This window comes from Homo sapiens, chromosome 6 (assembly GCF_000001405.40).
Source record: "Homo sapiens chromosome 6, GRCh38.p14 Primary Assembly".
Lineage (NCBI taxonomy): Eukaryota > Metazoa > Chordata > Mammalia > Primates > Hominidae > Homo > Homo sapiens.
This window is the reverse complement of record NC_000006.12, coordinates 70792381-70806975: the sequence shown is the minus strand read 5'-3', so window position 1 is coordinate 70806975 and position 14595 is coordinate 70792381. Positions and strand designations below refer to the sequence as shown.

The 14595-nt window shown below is 38.9% G+C and overlaps 1 protein-coding gene across 10 annotated transcripts in view; it reads right to left on the bottom strand.

Annotated features, from left to right (window-relative positions):
• SMAP1 (small ArfGAP 1) overlaps nucleotides 1–14595 on the bottom strand; it is a 194133-nt gene that overhangs the window by 55040 nt on the left and 124498 nt on the right. For all 10 annotated transcript variants that reach the window (NM_001044305.3, NM_001281439.2, NM_021940.5 and 7 more), the window contains one exon: nucleotides 8239–8319. In NM_001044305.3, coding sequence (NP_001037770.1) covers nucleotides 8239–8319 — 81 coding nt within the window. The remainder of the gene's footprint in view (nucleotides 1–8238; nucleotides 8320–14595) is intronic.

The following is a 14595-nucleotide window of genomic DNA, read 5'->3' as shown; positions in this document are numbered from 1 at the left end:
TGACAAATAGAAATACACACACACAACACAGGGCTTGAAACCAGAAGACTTGGGTTCAAATTCCTGAGCTGCCAGCAACTAGTAACACTGAGCAAGTCACTCCTGAGAGACTTTAGGTCCTTCGAGGATTTAGTTTACTTCTTTATAAAATAAGGAACTTAAATGAGATAAGCATGGTTCCTTCCAAATCCCAAATATGTTTAACTGCTTATTAAGCTATTACTATGTGTCAAGAACTATATTAATGGCTTTAATTACTTATAGAAATAAATTTGACTTGAAAAAACTAATTCTAGAATAAATAATCCCTATCGAGCATCTTCTTTCAAACTCATAACGAGGTGGATCTTCATCCAAGACAGCTCCGGTCTGCAGCTCCTAGCATGATCGACGCAGAAGATGGGTGATTTCTGCATTTCCAACTGAGGTACCTGGTTCATCTCACTGGGACTGGTTGGATAGTGGGTGCAGCCCACGGAGGGTGAGCTGAAGGAGGGCGGGGCATCACCTCACCAGGAAGCACAGGGGGTCACGGATTTCCCTTTCCTAGCCAAGGGAAGCTGTGACAGACTACCTGGAAAAACGGGACACTCCTGCCTAAATACTGTATTTTCCCCAAGGTCTTAGCAACCGGCAGACCAGGAGATTCTCTCCCGTGCCTGGCTTGGCAGGTCCCACGCTCACAGAGCCTTGCTCACTACTAGCGCAGCAGTCTGAGATCAAACTGTGAAGCCGCAGCTGGGCAGGGGAGAGGCATCCGCTATAGCTGAGGCTTCAGCAGGTAAACAAAGTGGCTGGGAAGCTCAAACTTAGCGGAGCCCACCGCAGCTCAGCAAGGCTCACTGCCTCTATAGACTCCACCTCAGTGGACAGGGCATAGCTAAACAAAAGGCAGCAGAAACTTCTGCAGACTTAAACGTGCCTGTCTGACAGCTCTGAAGAGAGCAGTGGTTCTCCCAGCACTGCATTTGAGCTCTGAGAATGGACACACTTGCCTCCTCAAGTGGGTCCCTGACCCCCGTGTAGCCTAACTGGGAGATACCTCCCAGTAGGGGCCGACAGACACCTCACACAGGTGGGTACCCCTCTGGGACGAAGCTTCCAGAGGAAAGATCAGGCAGCAATATTTGCTGTTCTGCAGCCTCTGCTGGTGACACCCAGGAAAACAGCGTCCACAGTAGACCTCCAGCAAACTCCAACAGACCTGCAGCAGAGGGACCTGACTGTTAGAAGGAAAACCAACAAACAGAAAGGAATAGCATCAATGTCAACAAAAAGGACATCCACACCAAAACCCCATCTGTAGGTCACCAACATCAAAGACCAAAGGTAGATAAAACCACAAAGATGGGAAGAAACCAGAGCAGAAAAGCTGAAAATTATAAAACCAGAGCCCCTCTTCTCTTCCAAAGCATCACAGCTCCTCGCCAGCAACAGAACAAAGCTGGATGCAGAATGACTTTGACGAGTTGACTGAAGTAGGCTTCAAAAAGTCGGTAATCACAAACTTCTCGGAGCTAATGGAACATGTTCTAACCCATCGCAAGGAAGTTAAAAACCTCGAAAAAAGGTTAGACGAATGGCTAACTAGAATAAACAGTGTAGAGAAGACCTTAAATGACCTGATGGAGCTGAAAGCCATGGCACGAGAACTTTGTGACGCATGCACAAGCTTCAATAGCTGATTTGATCAAGTGGAAGGAAGGATATCAGTGATTGAAGATCAAATTAATGAAATAAAGCAAGAAGACAAGATTAGAGAAAAAAGAGTAATAAGAAATGAACAAACACTCCAAGAAATATGAAACTATATGAAAAGACCAAATCTACGTCTGATTGGTGTACCTGAAAGTGATGGGGAGAATGAAACCAAGTTGGAAAACACTCTTCAGGATATTATCCAGGAGAACGTACCCAACCTAGCAAGACAGGCCAACATTCAAATTCAGGAAAAACACAGAACACCACAAAGATACTCTTCAAGAAGAGCAACCCAAGACACATAATTGTCATATTCACCAAGGCTGAAATGAAAAAAAAAAAAAGTGTTAAGGACAGTCAGAGAGAAAGGTCAGGTTACCCACAAAGGGAAGTCCATCAGACTAACAGCAGATCTCTCAGCAGAAACACTATAGGCCAGAAGAGAGTGGGGGTCAATATACAACATTCTTAAAGAAAAGAATTTTCAACCCAGAATTTCATATCCAGCCAAACTAAGCTTCATAAGTGAAGGAGAAATAAAATACTTTACAGACAAGCAAATGCTGAGAGATTTTGTCACCACCAGGCCTGCCTTACAAGAGCTCCTGAAGGAAGCACTAAACATGGAAAGGAACAACTGGTACCAGCCAATGCAAAAACAGGCCAAATTGGAAAGACCATCGATGCTATGAAGAAACTGCATCAATTAAAGGTCAAAATAACCAGCGAACATCATAATGACAGGATCTCATTCACACATAACAATATTAAACTTAAACGTAAATGGGCTAAATGCCCCAATTAAAAGACACAGACTGGCAAACTGGATAGAGTCAAAACCCATCACCATCAGCGTGCTGTATTCAGGAGACCCATCTCACCTGCAGAGACACACATAGGCTCAAAATAAAGGGATGGAGGAAGACCTACCAGGCAAATGGAAAGTTAAAAAAAAAAAAAAACAGGGGTTGCAATCCTAGTCTCTGATAAAACAGACTTCAAACGAACAAAGATCAAAAGAGACAAAGAAAGCCATTACATAACGGTAAAGGGATCAATTCAATAAGAGCTAACTATCCTAAATATATATGCACCCAATACAGGAGCACCCAGATTCATAAAGCAAGTCCTTAGAGACCTACAAAGAGACTTAGGCTCTCACAAAACAATAATGGGAGACTTTAACACCCCACTGTCAATGTCAGACAGATCAACGAGACAGAAGGTTAACAAAGATATCCAGGACTTGAACTCATCTCTGCACCAAGTGGACCTAATAAGACATCTACAGAACTCTCCACCCCAAATCAACAGAATATACATTCTTCTCAGCACATCACACTTATTCTAAAATTGACACATAATTGGAAGTAAAACACTCCTCAGCAAACGTAAAAGAACAGAAATCACAACAAACTGTCTCTCAGGACACAGTACAATCAAATTAGGACTCAGGATTAAGAAACTCATTCAAAACTGCACATCTACATGGAAACTGAACAACCTGCTCCTGAATGACTACTGAGTAAAGAAATGAAGGCAGAAATAACGATGTTCTTTGAAACCAATGAGAACAAAGATAGAACGTACCAGAATATCTGGGACACATTTAAAGCAGTGTGTAGAGGGAAATTTATAGCACTAAATGCCCACAAGAGAAAGTAGGAAAGGTCTAAAATTGACACCCTAACATCACAATTAAAAGAACCACAGAAGCAAGAGCAAACAAATTCAAAAGCTAGTAGAAGGCAAGAAATAACTAAGATCAGAGCAGAACTGAAGGAAATAGAGACACAAAAAAACCTTCAAAAAAATCAATGAATCCAGGAGTGGTTTTTTGAAAAGATCAACAAAATAGACTGCTAGCAAGACTAATAAAGAAGAAAAGAGAAAAGAATCAAATAGACGCAATAAAAAATGATAAAGGGGTATCACCACTGATCCCACAGAAATACAAACTACCATCAGAGAATACGACAAACACCTCTACGCAAATAAACTAGAAAATCTAGAAAATGATAAATTGCTGGACACATACACCCTCCCAAGACTAAACCAGGAATAAGTTGAATCTCTGAATAGACCAATAACAGACTCTGAAATTGAGGCAATAATAGCCTACCAACCAAAAAAAGTCCAGGACCAGACAGACTCACAGCCAAATTCTAACAGAGGTACAACGAGGAGCTAGTACCATTCCTTCTGAAACTATTCCAATCAATAGAAAAAGAGGGAATCCTCCCTAACTCATTTTATGAGGCCAGAATCATCCTGATACTAAAGCCTGGCAGAGACACAACAAAAAAAGAGAATTTTAGACCAATATCCCTGATGAACATCGATGCGAAAATCCTCAATAAAATACTGGCAAACCGAATCCAGCAGCACATCGAAAAGCTTATCCACCACGATCAAGTGGGCTTCATCCCTGGGATGCAAGGCTGGTTCAACATACGCAAATCGATAAACGTGATCCATCACATAAACAGAACCAAAGACAAAAACCACATGATTATCTCAATAGATGCAGAAAAGGCCTTCAACAAAATTCAACAGCCCTTCATGCTAAAAACTCTCAATAAACTAGATATTGATGAAACATATCTCAAAATAATAAGAGCTATTTATGACAAACCCACAGCCAATATCATACTGAATGGGCAAAAACTGGAAGCATTTCCTTTGAAAACCGGAACAAGACAAGGATGCCCTCTCTCACCACTCCTATTCAACAGTGTTGGAAGTTCTGGCCAGAGCAATCAGGCAACAGAAAAAAATAAAGGGTACTCAATTAGGAAAAGAGGAAGTCAAATTCTCCCTGTTTGCAGATGACATGATTATATATCCAGAAAACCCCATCGTCTCAGCCTAAAATCTCCTTAAGCTGATAAGCAACTTCAGCAAAGTTTCAGGATACAAAATCAATGTGTAAAAATCACAAGCATTCCAATACAACAATGACAGAGAGCCAAATCATGAGTGAATTCCCATTCACAACTGCTACAAAGAGAATAAAATACCTAGGAATCCAACTTACAAGGGATGTAAAGGACCTCGTCAAGGAGAACTACAAACCACTGCTCAATGAAATAAAAGAGGACACAAACAAATGGAAGAACATTCCATGCTCATAGATACGAAGAATTAATATCGTGAAAATGGCCATACTGCCCAAGGTAATTTATAGATTTAATGCCATCTTCATCAAGCTACCAATGACTTTCTTCACAGAATTGGAAAAAACTACTTTAAAGTTCATATGGAACCAAAAAAGAGCCCGCATTGCCAAGTCAATCCTAAGCAAAAAGAACAAAGCTGGAGACATCACGCTACCTGACTTCAAACTATACTACAAGGCTACAGTAACCAAAACAGCATGTTGCTGGTACCAAAACAGAGAGATAGACCAATGGAACAGAACAGAAGCCTCAGAAATAACACCACACATCTACAACCATCTGATCTTTGACAAACTTGACAAAAACAAGAAATGGAGAAACGATTCCCTATTTAATAAATGGTGCTGGGAAAACTGGCTAGCCATATGTAGAAAGCTGAAACTGGATCCCCTTCTTACACTTCATATGCAAATTAATTCAAGATGGATTAAATATTTAAATGTAAGACCTAAAACCATAAAAACTCTAGAAGAAAACCTAGGCAATACCATTCAGGACACAGGCATGGGCAAGGACTTCATGATTAAAACACCAAAAGCAATGGCAACAAAAGCCAAAAATGACAAACGGAATCTAATTAAACTAAAAAGCTTCTGCATGGCAAAAGAAACTACCATCAGCATGAACAGGCAACCTAAAGAATGGGAGAAAATTTTTGCAATTTACTCATCTGACAAAGGGCTAATATCCAGAATCTACAAAGAACTTAAACAAACTTACAAGAAAAAAAAACCACATCAAAAAGTGGGCAAAGGATATGAACAGACACTTCTCAAAAGAAGACATTTATGCAGCCAACAGATATATGAAAAAATGCTCACCATCACTGGTCATCAGACAAATGCAAATCAAAACCACGATGAGATACCATCTCACGCCAGGTAGAATCGCGATCATTAAAAAAGTCAGGAAGCAACAGATGTTGGAGAGGATGTGGAGAAACAAGAACACTTTTACACTGTTGGTGGTAGTATAAATTAGTTCAACTATTGTGGAAGACAGTGTGGCAATTCCCCAAGGATCTAGAACTAGAAATACCATTTGACCCAGCCATCCCATTACTGAGTATATACCCAAAGGATTATAAATCATGCTACTATAAAGACACATGCACACTTATGTTTATTGTGGCACTATTCACAATAGCAAAGACTTGGAACCAACCCAAATGTCCATCAATGATAGACTGGATTAAGAAAATGTGGCACATATACACCATGGAATACTACACAGTCATAACAAAAGGACGAGTTCATGTCCTTCACAGGGACATGGATGAAGCTGGAAACCATCATTCTCAGCAAACTATCACAAGGACAGAAAGTCAAACACCACATGTTCTCACTCATAGGTGGGAATTGAACAGTAAGATCACTTGGACACAGGGCAGGGAACATCACACACCAGGGCCTGTCAGGGGGTGGGGGGCTGGGGGAGGGACAGCATTAGGAGATATACCTAATGTAAATGACAAGTTGATGGGTGCAGCAAACCAACATGGCACATGTATACCTGTGTAACAAACCGGCACACTGTGCACATATACCCTAGAACTTAAAGTATAATAATAAAAGAATTAAAATGAAAACAGAAACAAAATTAGACACAATGAAGAAATAAGGTATTTGCAAACACTTAACTGAAAAAGGACTAGTATCTCCCATACATTATGTATATGTGTATAGAGAGCTACAAATCAATGAGGAAAAGCAGGCAATCCAACAGAAAAATAGGCAAAAGACCTGAACCAGGCCTATGAAAAGGAAGATTTTTGTTTTTTATTCCCTTCTGTATTTTTTTTTTAAAGGGTGTCTTGCTGTGTTACCCATGCTGGAGTGCAGTGGCTATTCACAGGTATGATCATAGCACACTGCAGCCTCAAACTCCTGGGTTCAAGTGATCCTCCCACCTCAGCCTCCCAAGTAGCTGGGGACTACAGAGGTGCACCATCACACCCCATTTAAAGTTTCACTTTTTAAAAAACACGTGCCTTATTTTCACATGTATTATTTTCATTTTTTAAATGTAAAATAAATGAAGCTATAGTGAAAAAAAGAAGGCAAAAAAGACATGAAAAGGCACTGGGCCTCATTCTGTAATCAAGGAAATGAACAGTAAAAATTTAATGAGACACCATTACATACTCACCATATTGCAAATGCTAAAATCCCTGACAACACTATGTGTTACATAGAATGTGAAATTACTTTGATGGTAAGAGTACCTTTGGTATACACTTTGGAAAAAAGTTTGACATTATCCAGTAAACTTCAAGATGCACATACTTTATGATGCAGAAATTCCACTACTAAGTCACCCTAAAAACATACAAGCTTAGATTCCATATACAAAAGTTTCAAAGCAGCATTATTTAGAATAGTTAAAACCTGTATATAATCCAAATGTTCAACAGCAGAATGGATCTTCTTTCTTATATACAGTACTTCTATTATGTACTTTAAATGGATGTACTTTGCAGTATCCAATTTATGCCTCAATAAAGTTGATTTTTAAAATTTCAACAACTAAAATCAAGGATGCTCCCTTTACTGACAATTCTCTTAGTATGATTCCATACTCTTATGATGAAATGCATTCAAAGCCAAGCCACCATAAATATTTAACCAATCCCTTTACAAAGTACAACATTCTCACTAGCTGTAGTTCGCCTAATCACATCTATCCTGCATATCACTGCTAAAATAATTTTCAAAAAAACCCTTCTGAATTAGGAGTACCATGTGCTTTAGAATTTGAAGTGCTGCTCACAGCCTTTCCTCCCCCCAAAAGAATAAACATCTACAATTTGAGTTCAATCTACCATTCTGGTGTTATTTTTCACTAGTTTCTATACATAGACAAATCCCTTTCTTCAAATTCACTATTTTTCTAAACATTTTATTTACAATTTTCATACATTCTTCAGGCTGTTCTCTTAAACATGTACCCGTTTTCCACCTTAATCCTACCTATGTTTTAAGAGGTAGCTCAAAGGCTAACCTTAAGCAGAGTCTTTTCTGAAGTCCCTTTCATTTATGTTCTCTTCATTCTCTAAAATTCTAAGTCTTCTAAGTCTGATTGTGTATGAAAGCTAAAAACACCATTCTCTATGTCATTCACAGGAGAATACCTGTCTCCAAGGAACTCAGAGGGTTTATACCCACACATATAGATAACTGATTACAAATAATACAGAGACAAGCTAGAAGGACATGCTGAGCACACAGCATTCACTCAACAATTGCTTGTTGAAAATAATGATTATTTACATATTATAAATATCCAGAAAGTCATTAATATATAAGTATACAAATAAAATGGTAATCCTAATAGATTATTTTTAAAAAAAGAATTTTACCTTTTCAGCTGTAAGTGGTTTTGCCGGCTTTTCTGGCTCCTTTTCTCTCTTTTTCTCTTCCTTTTTTTTTTCCTTTTCTTTCTAAAACACAGCCCAAAGTTTTGATAAGTTTACTTTTTTAAAAAATGGCAATTTTTGACTCATCCTTATTAGTTTGAGTAATCATCTGAAAAAGGTAGAAATATTCAGTAATTACAATATCTACGTGCTACTGAAATATAATAAACAGTAAATTCATATTCTCATTGAGGTTATATGCTGATGACACTAAAGAATATCTGTTAAAAAATTAAGACAGAGGCACAGCGGTAAGACAATTTAGAACTTCTTTGATATAGTAGGGTTTGTTTCATGCTTGTTTTAAATGAATGAGATCTCCATTCAATAAATTCTCACTATATCCTTTTATTAGGTTAGACTTCCTAACAGCAATCACGAAGTTGAATTTTGAATGGAAAAAAAAAAAAAACTAAGTGATAGAACAGACTTCTTTATTACACAAAGATAAATTATAATAGGCAAATATAAGGGGAAGACTATAAAATCAGCTTTTTTTATCACAAAATATCTTCAGTCCATTATCATAGATTTTGCTTTAGAAAAAGGAGTAAATACAGTGATTTTCTCATGAAAAAAATAATGTTCAAGATAGTGCTTGGGGACCACAGCCAACTGACTAGTGTAAGGCAGTGAAGTATAAATGGCATTATGATATTCACAATTTGCATTTCCAATAAGGATTAGATATAATGTTAAAAACTTAAGGATTAAAAGTATCAACAATAAATCTTAAGGGCCAATAGAGGAAAATGAAAAGAGATTAAACAAAGAGCATTCGTAAGGCATTTAGAGGAAAGAGATGACTAGAAACTGAGAACTGAAAGTCTACTGCAACTAAACACTAACCTGGCCCTTAGTTTCCTGGCAGCAAAAAAAGAAAAGATAAACTGATGAACCTAGGGAAGGCAACATGATAAACATGCAGAACTTACTCAAAATACCTAACAGCTGCATTTGTACCTATGCCTTTAAAATGGTGTCTGATGCAACCTCTGTCAAAGTAAATCTGCCATTTGTAAATCAGGAAATATAATATTGGCAATTCCCAGGCCATAATGTGAGAGAAATAATAAAAGTTCAAAGGGCTTTGCAACCATTCATATAAAGTTCAAAAACAGGCAAAAATATGATGTTTGGGAGGGTACACACTAGTATAAAACTATTTTAAAAAGCAAAAAAGTAAAGACGATGATGATAAAAATCAGGATGTTAATTACCTTTAAGGAGAAGGGATGAGGTTATTTGGGAACAGAGTCACACAGGAGCTTTCAAAGTGGTAATAACATTGAGTTTCAATATTCATTACACAGTGATAGTCTTCTAAGTATTAAACCAGATATATATTTAATGTGCATTTCAACACTAAAAAGAAAAAGGCACTAAGAACCTAGAAAGCAACTTTGCAAACTATAAAGCACTACACAAATATGGCACATTATAATTTTAGTGTTTGTTGTGTGATTTTAAAAAGAGGAAAGGAAAAATTTACATCTTAGTTCAAAATTTTAAAAGAAATTCATAGCAAAGATCTTTATATTTGGGGCATGAATAAGCAATGTCTTCAACTGCAATTTTAAGAACAGGGAAATTCTAAAGCATTTCTCTTTTTAACCTTTTATTAGCCATTAATAAAAGGCAGTAAGTGTTATAATAGTAATTCATCAATTAGTGAAAGCATTTAAGTAGAGGACAAAGCTAACAAACTATTGGTATATTGCTTTGCAACAAAAGAAGAATACATGGATAGAATTTCCAGAATCTGAACAGTTTATATATCAGGCTCCTTTAGACTAGGATTCTCTAAAATTATGTTTCAATAATGCTGTTCAGGAACAGGATAAAAGTCAACATAAAGTTGAACTTGTGCTAAAACCTGAAGAGTAATCTATATGCTTTAGTTACCAGAAGAGCATATGTCAAAAGTGACATTTTGCCTTAAACATTAAGGATATTAACATAGTCTAGCACAGACAGAAGACCATCTAGAAAGTTGGGATAGTTCTCAAAAAAGATCTTCATATCTACTCAAGTGCCTGGGCTTTATACTGGAAATAAGGAAGATGTAACCCTTTAAGGATAACTAGAAACATTACCTACTGCTGACTCAACCATTTCCCAAATCAAAACCTTCATTTCCAAAACACAACTACCACTTATTAAGTGCTTCCTATGGGCCAGGTGATAAGCACCTTATTGTCTAATTTAATCTTTGCAACAATTTTCTGAAATAAAAACTTTACCTACTGTCATCTTACAAATGAAGAAACAAAATCTTAAGAAGTAATGCCCAAAGCAACACAGTTAATCAAAGCTAGTAGCAGGACTGAGGGACTATGGAGCCCAAACTTCCAGGTCTCACTACTAACTGTGGTCCAGTGGAGCTTTGATATTTATTATTGCTGTTATTATTCCTTACAGTAACAGCTAATACTTTCTGAACCGTTACTATGTGCCAGGCACTGTTTTGGCTCTTTTAATCCTCACAACAACTTTATGAAGTTAGTAATATTATCCCCATTTTATAAGTAAAGAATAAATAGGATGTGCAAAAATTTTATATATATTATAAAATGTTTTCTATATATTCGTAGTAAACTATGGTGCAGAAAGCAATGTGACAGAACATTTTCATTAATATGTTGAGAAGGAGGCCGGGCATGGTGGCTCATGCCTGTAATCCCAGCACTTCGGGAGGCCGAGGCAGGCCTATCACGAAGTTCGAGACCAGCCTGACCAACATGATGAAACCCTGTCTCTATTAAAAATACAAAAATTAGCCGGGCGTGGTGGCGGGCGCCTGTAATCCCAGCTACTTGGGAGGCTGAGGCAGGAGAATCACTTGAATCCAGGAGGCGGAGGTTGCAGTGAGCTGAGACCATGCCATTGCACTCCAGCCTGGGCAACAAGAGCAAAACTCCATCTCAAAAAAAAAAAAAGAAAAAGAAAAATATGTTGAGAATGAGTTGCTCCCTAACCTCTCAGAGCTATTAGTTATTGCTATGGTTTGAATGTTTGTGTCCACCCCAAAATTCACATGTTAAAACCTAATCCCCAATGTGATATTATTAGGAGGTGGGGCCTTTGGGAAGTGATTAAGTCATGAGGATGAAACCTTCATGAATAGGATTCACACCCTTATTAAAAAGGCCCCAGAGAGATTTCCTGCCCTTTCCCACTATATGAGGGCACAAAGATGTATCGTTTTATGAACCAGAAAGTGGACCCTTCAGAAGACACAGAATCTGCTGGAGACTTGATCTTTGTCTTTCCAGCCTCCAGAACTGTGAGAAGTAAATTTTTGTTGTTTATAAGCTACTCAATCTATGGTATAGTGTTAGAGTAGCCAGCACAGGTGAAGACAGTTATTTCTCAAGAAGGCCATTGTCATGAGTAGGAAAGAAGTTTGACTTCCTAATCACCATGATTGGTGGGCACATATGAAATCACTAAAAACAAATCAAATTCGCTTGCTACATTTACTAGAGGGAGAGCATGACTTGATACTCTTTAACACCAGAATTCAGCTGTAAAAATACAGCTGTCAAGACACATGCAGCACATCTATGTTTACTGCAGCACTATTCACAATAGCAAAGACTTGGAAACAACCCAAATGTCCATCAATGACAGACTGGATTAAGAAAATGTGGCAATGAGGTCAGGAAATCGAGACCATCCGGGCTAACACGGTGAAACCCCATCTCCACTAAAAATACAAAAAATTAGACAGGTGTGGTCATGGGCACCTGCAGTCCCAGCTACTCGGGAGGCTGAGGCAGGAGAATGGCGTGAACCCGGGAGGCAGAGCTTGCAGTGAGCTGAGATCGTGCCACTGCACTCCAACCTGGGCGACAGAGTGAAACTCCATCTCAAAAAAAAAAAAAAAAAAGAAAAGAAAATGTGGCACAATACACCATGGAATACTATGCAGCCATAAAAAAGGAAGAGTTCGTGTCCTTTCTAGGGACATGGATGAGGCTAGAAACCATCATTCTGAGCAAACTATCACAAGGACAGAAAACCAAACACCCCATGTTCCACTCATAGGTGGGAACTGAACAATGATATCACTTGGACATAGGGCGGGGAACATCACACACCGGTGCCTGTCGTGGGGTGGTGGGAGATATACCTAATGTAAATGATGAGTTGACGAGTGCAGCAAACCAACATGGCACATGTACACCTATGTATCAAACCTGCACGTTGTGCACATGTATCTTAGAACTTAAAGTATAATAACAATAATAAAAATATAGCTGTCACCTACTCTGATTCTGGCAGTGGTATTAGGATACAGGCTTCGAAGTAATATTAACAGCATGGGTTCTAAACTCATCATGCAGTTTGACCCACAGATGACTCCCATCCATAGAATCAAAAGCTGCTAAAAGATCTAAAAGTACTGTGAAAACCTAAGTTGTTTTAAACTATTTTCTCAGCAAGAACAAAATACTGCAGTATTTTATATTTTAAAATAGTCGTTCTTGAAACCTGGTGGCTATATGCACAAGTGACGTAGTGAAACAGCTGACCTCCTGTGCAAGAAAACTGGTTAAACATTCAAGTCCAGTAAGATGGAGGTAAGTACATACTGGGTTCATTATAATCAAACTATACTTGAGTGATTTAAATAAAGACATAGGGCCGGGCACAGTGGCTCACGCCTGTAATCCCAGCACTTTGGTAGGCTGAGGTGGGCAGATCACCTGAGGTCGGGAGTTCGAGACCAGCCTGACCAACACAGAGAAACCCTATCTCTATAAAAATACATAATTAGCCAGGCATGGTGGCGCATGCCTGTAAACCCAGCTACTCGGGAGGCTGAGGCAGAAGAATTGCTTGAACCCGGGAGGCGGAGGTTGCAGTGGGAGGTTGCAATAAGCCGAGATCGCGCCACTGCACTCCAACATGGGCAACAAGAGCGAAACTCTGTCTCAAAAAAATAAATAAATAAATAAATAAAAATAAAATAAAGACATAGTTTCCAAAATTTTTAAGCTTTCTCTCTCTCTCTCTCTCTCTCTCTCTCTAACTACTCTCCTCCCCTTTTCTTTCCCATGGGCCTAGACCTGTATATCCAACCAACTACTAAACACCTCAATGTTCCACAGTGACCTCATACTTAACACGTCCAACTTCTAATTCACCTCTTTCCTTTTCTGCTCAAACCTGTTCCTTCTTTTCAGCTTGTATCCTTGTCTCACTAATTGGCACCATCATCTACTAAGATGTTCAAGATAGAAACTGGAAGTCACAAGCTTCCCAAAGCACCTCCACAAGACACCAATTACTAAACCCCATAGACTGTACCTTCTTAAGACCTCTCAAAATTACACTCTCTTGGCCAGGCGCAGTGGCTTATGCCTGTAATCCCAGCACTTTGGGAGCCCGAGTCGGGTGGATCACAAGGCCAAGAGATCGAGACCATCCTGGCCAACATGGCGAAACCCTGTCTCTACTAAAAATACAAAAATTAGCTGGGCATGGTGGTGCGCACCTGTAGTCCCAGCTACTCAGGAGGCTGAGGCAGGAGAGTCGCTTGAACCCAGGTGATGGAGGCTGCAGTAAGCCGAGATCGCGCCACTGCAGTCCAGCCTGGCAACAGAGCAAGACTCCGTCTCAAAAAAATAAAATAAAATAAAATAAAATTTAAAAATTACACTCTCTTTTACATTCCCTCTGTTACTACTTTGGAACATGTCCCCCTCATTTCATTACTGGATTAGAGTAATAGGTTAAGTCTTTTCCTCACCCATGACCACAAAATTCACTCCCCACGGAGCCTGTAAAGTTGTGTTACAACATGAAAATCTGATTCTGTCACACCCACCCCCCAACGCTTAAAACTCATCACTCAAGTGCCCGAGCCTTCAGAATCAAACTCCTTCAGTGGGCTCATGAGAAGGCTCCTTCATGAGAAAGATAGGAGCCTTGCCGTTCTACTCATATTTCAGTTATGCCATTCTACTTGCAACTCCCCAAACACTGCACTTTGCCCATATGTTTTTTCACAGGCTAGTTTCCATGTATGGAATTCTTCCTAATCCTTCCCCTTATATCTAATGCTTATTCAGAGCATAAGATGCATCAAAATGATGCCTCCTGCAGTACAGTGAGCGTACCTCAATCACAGCCCATAATATATTGTATTATAAACTGCTATATAGTTATCTGTTTTCTTGCCTTAGACTGTAAGCTCCTGGAGGGCAGGGGCTATATCTTGCCTTTGTATACCACACATCTAGCCAACCATTTATCATTTATCCCATGTCTACGGGAAAAAATGATAGTTGA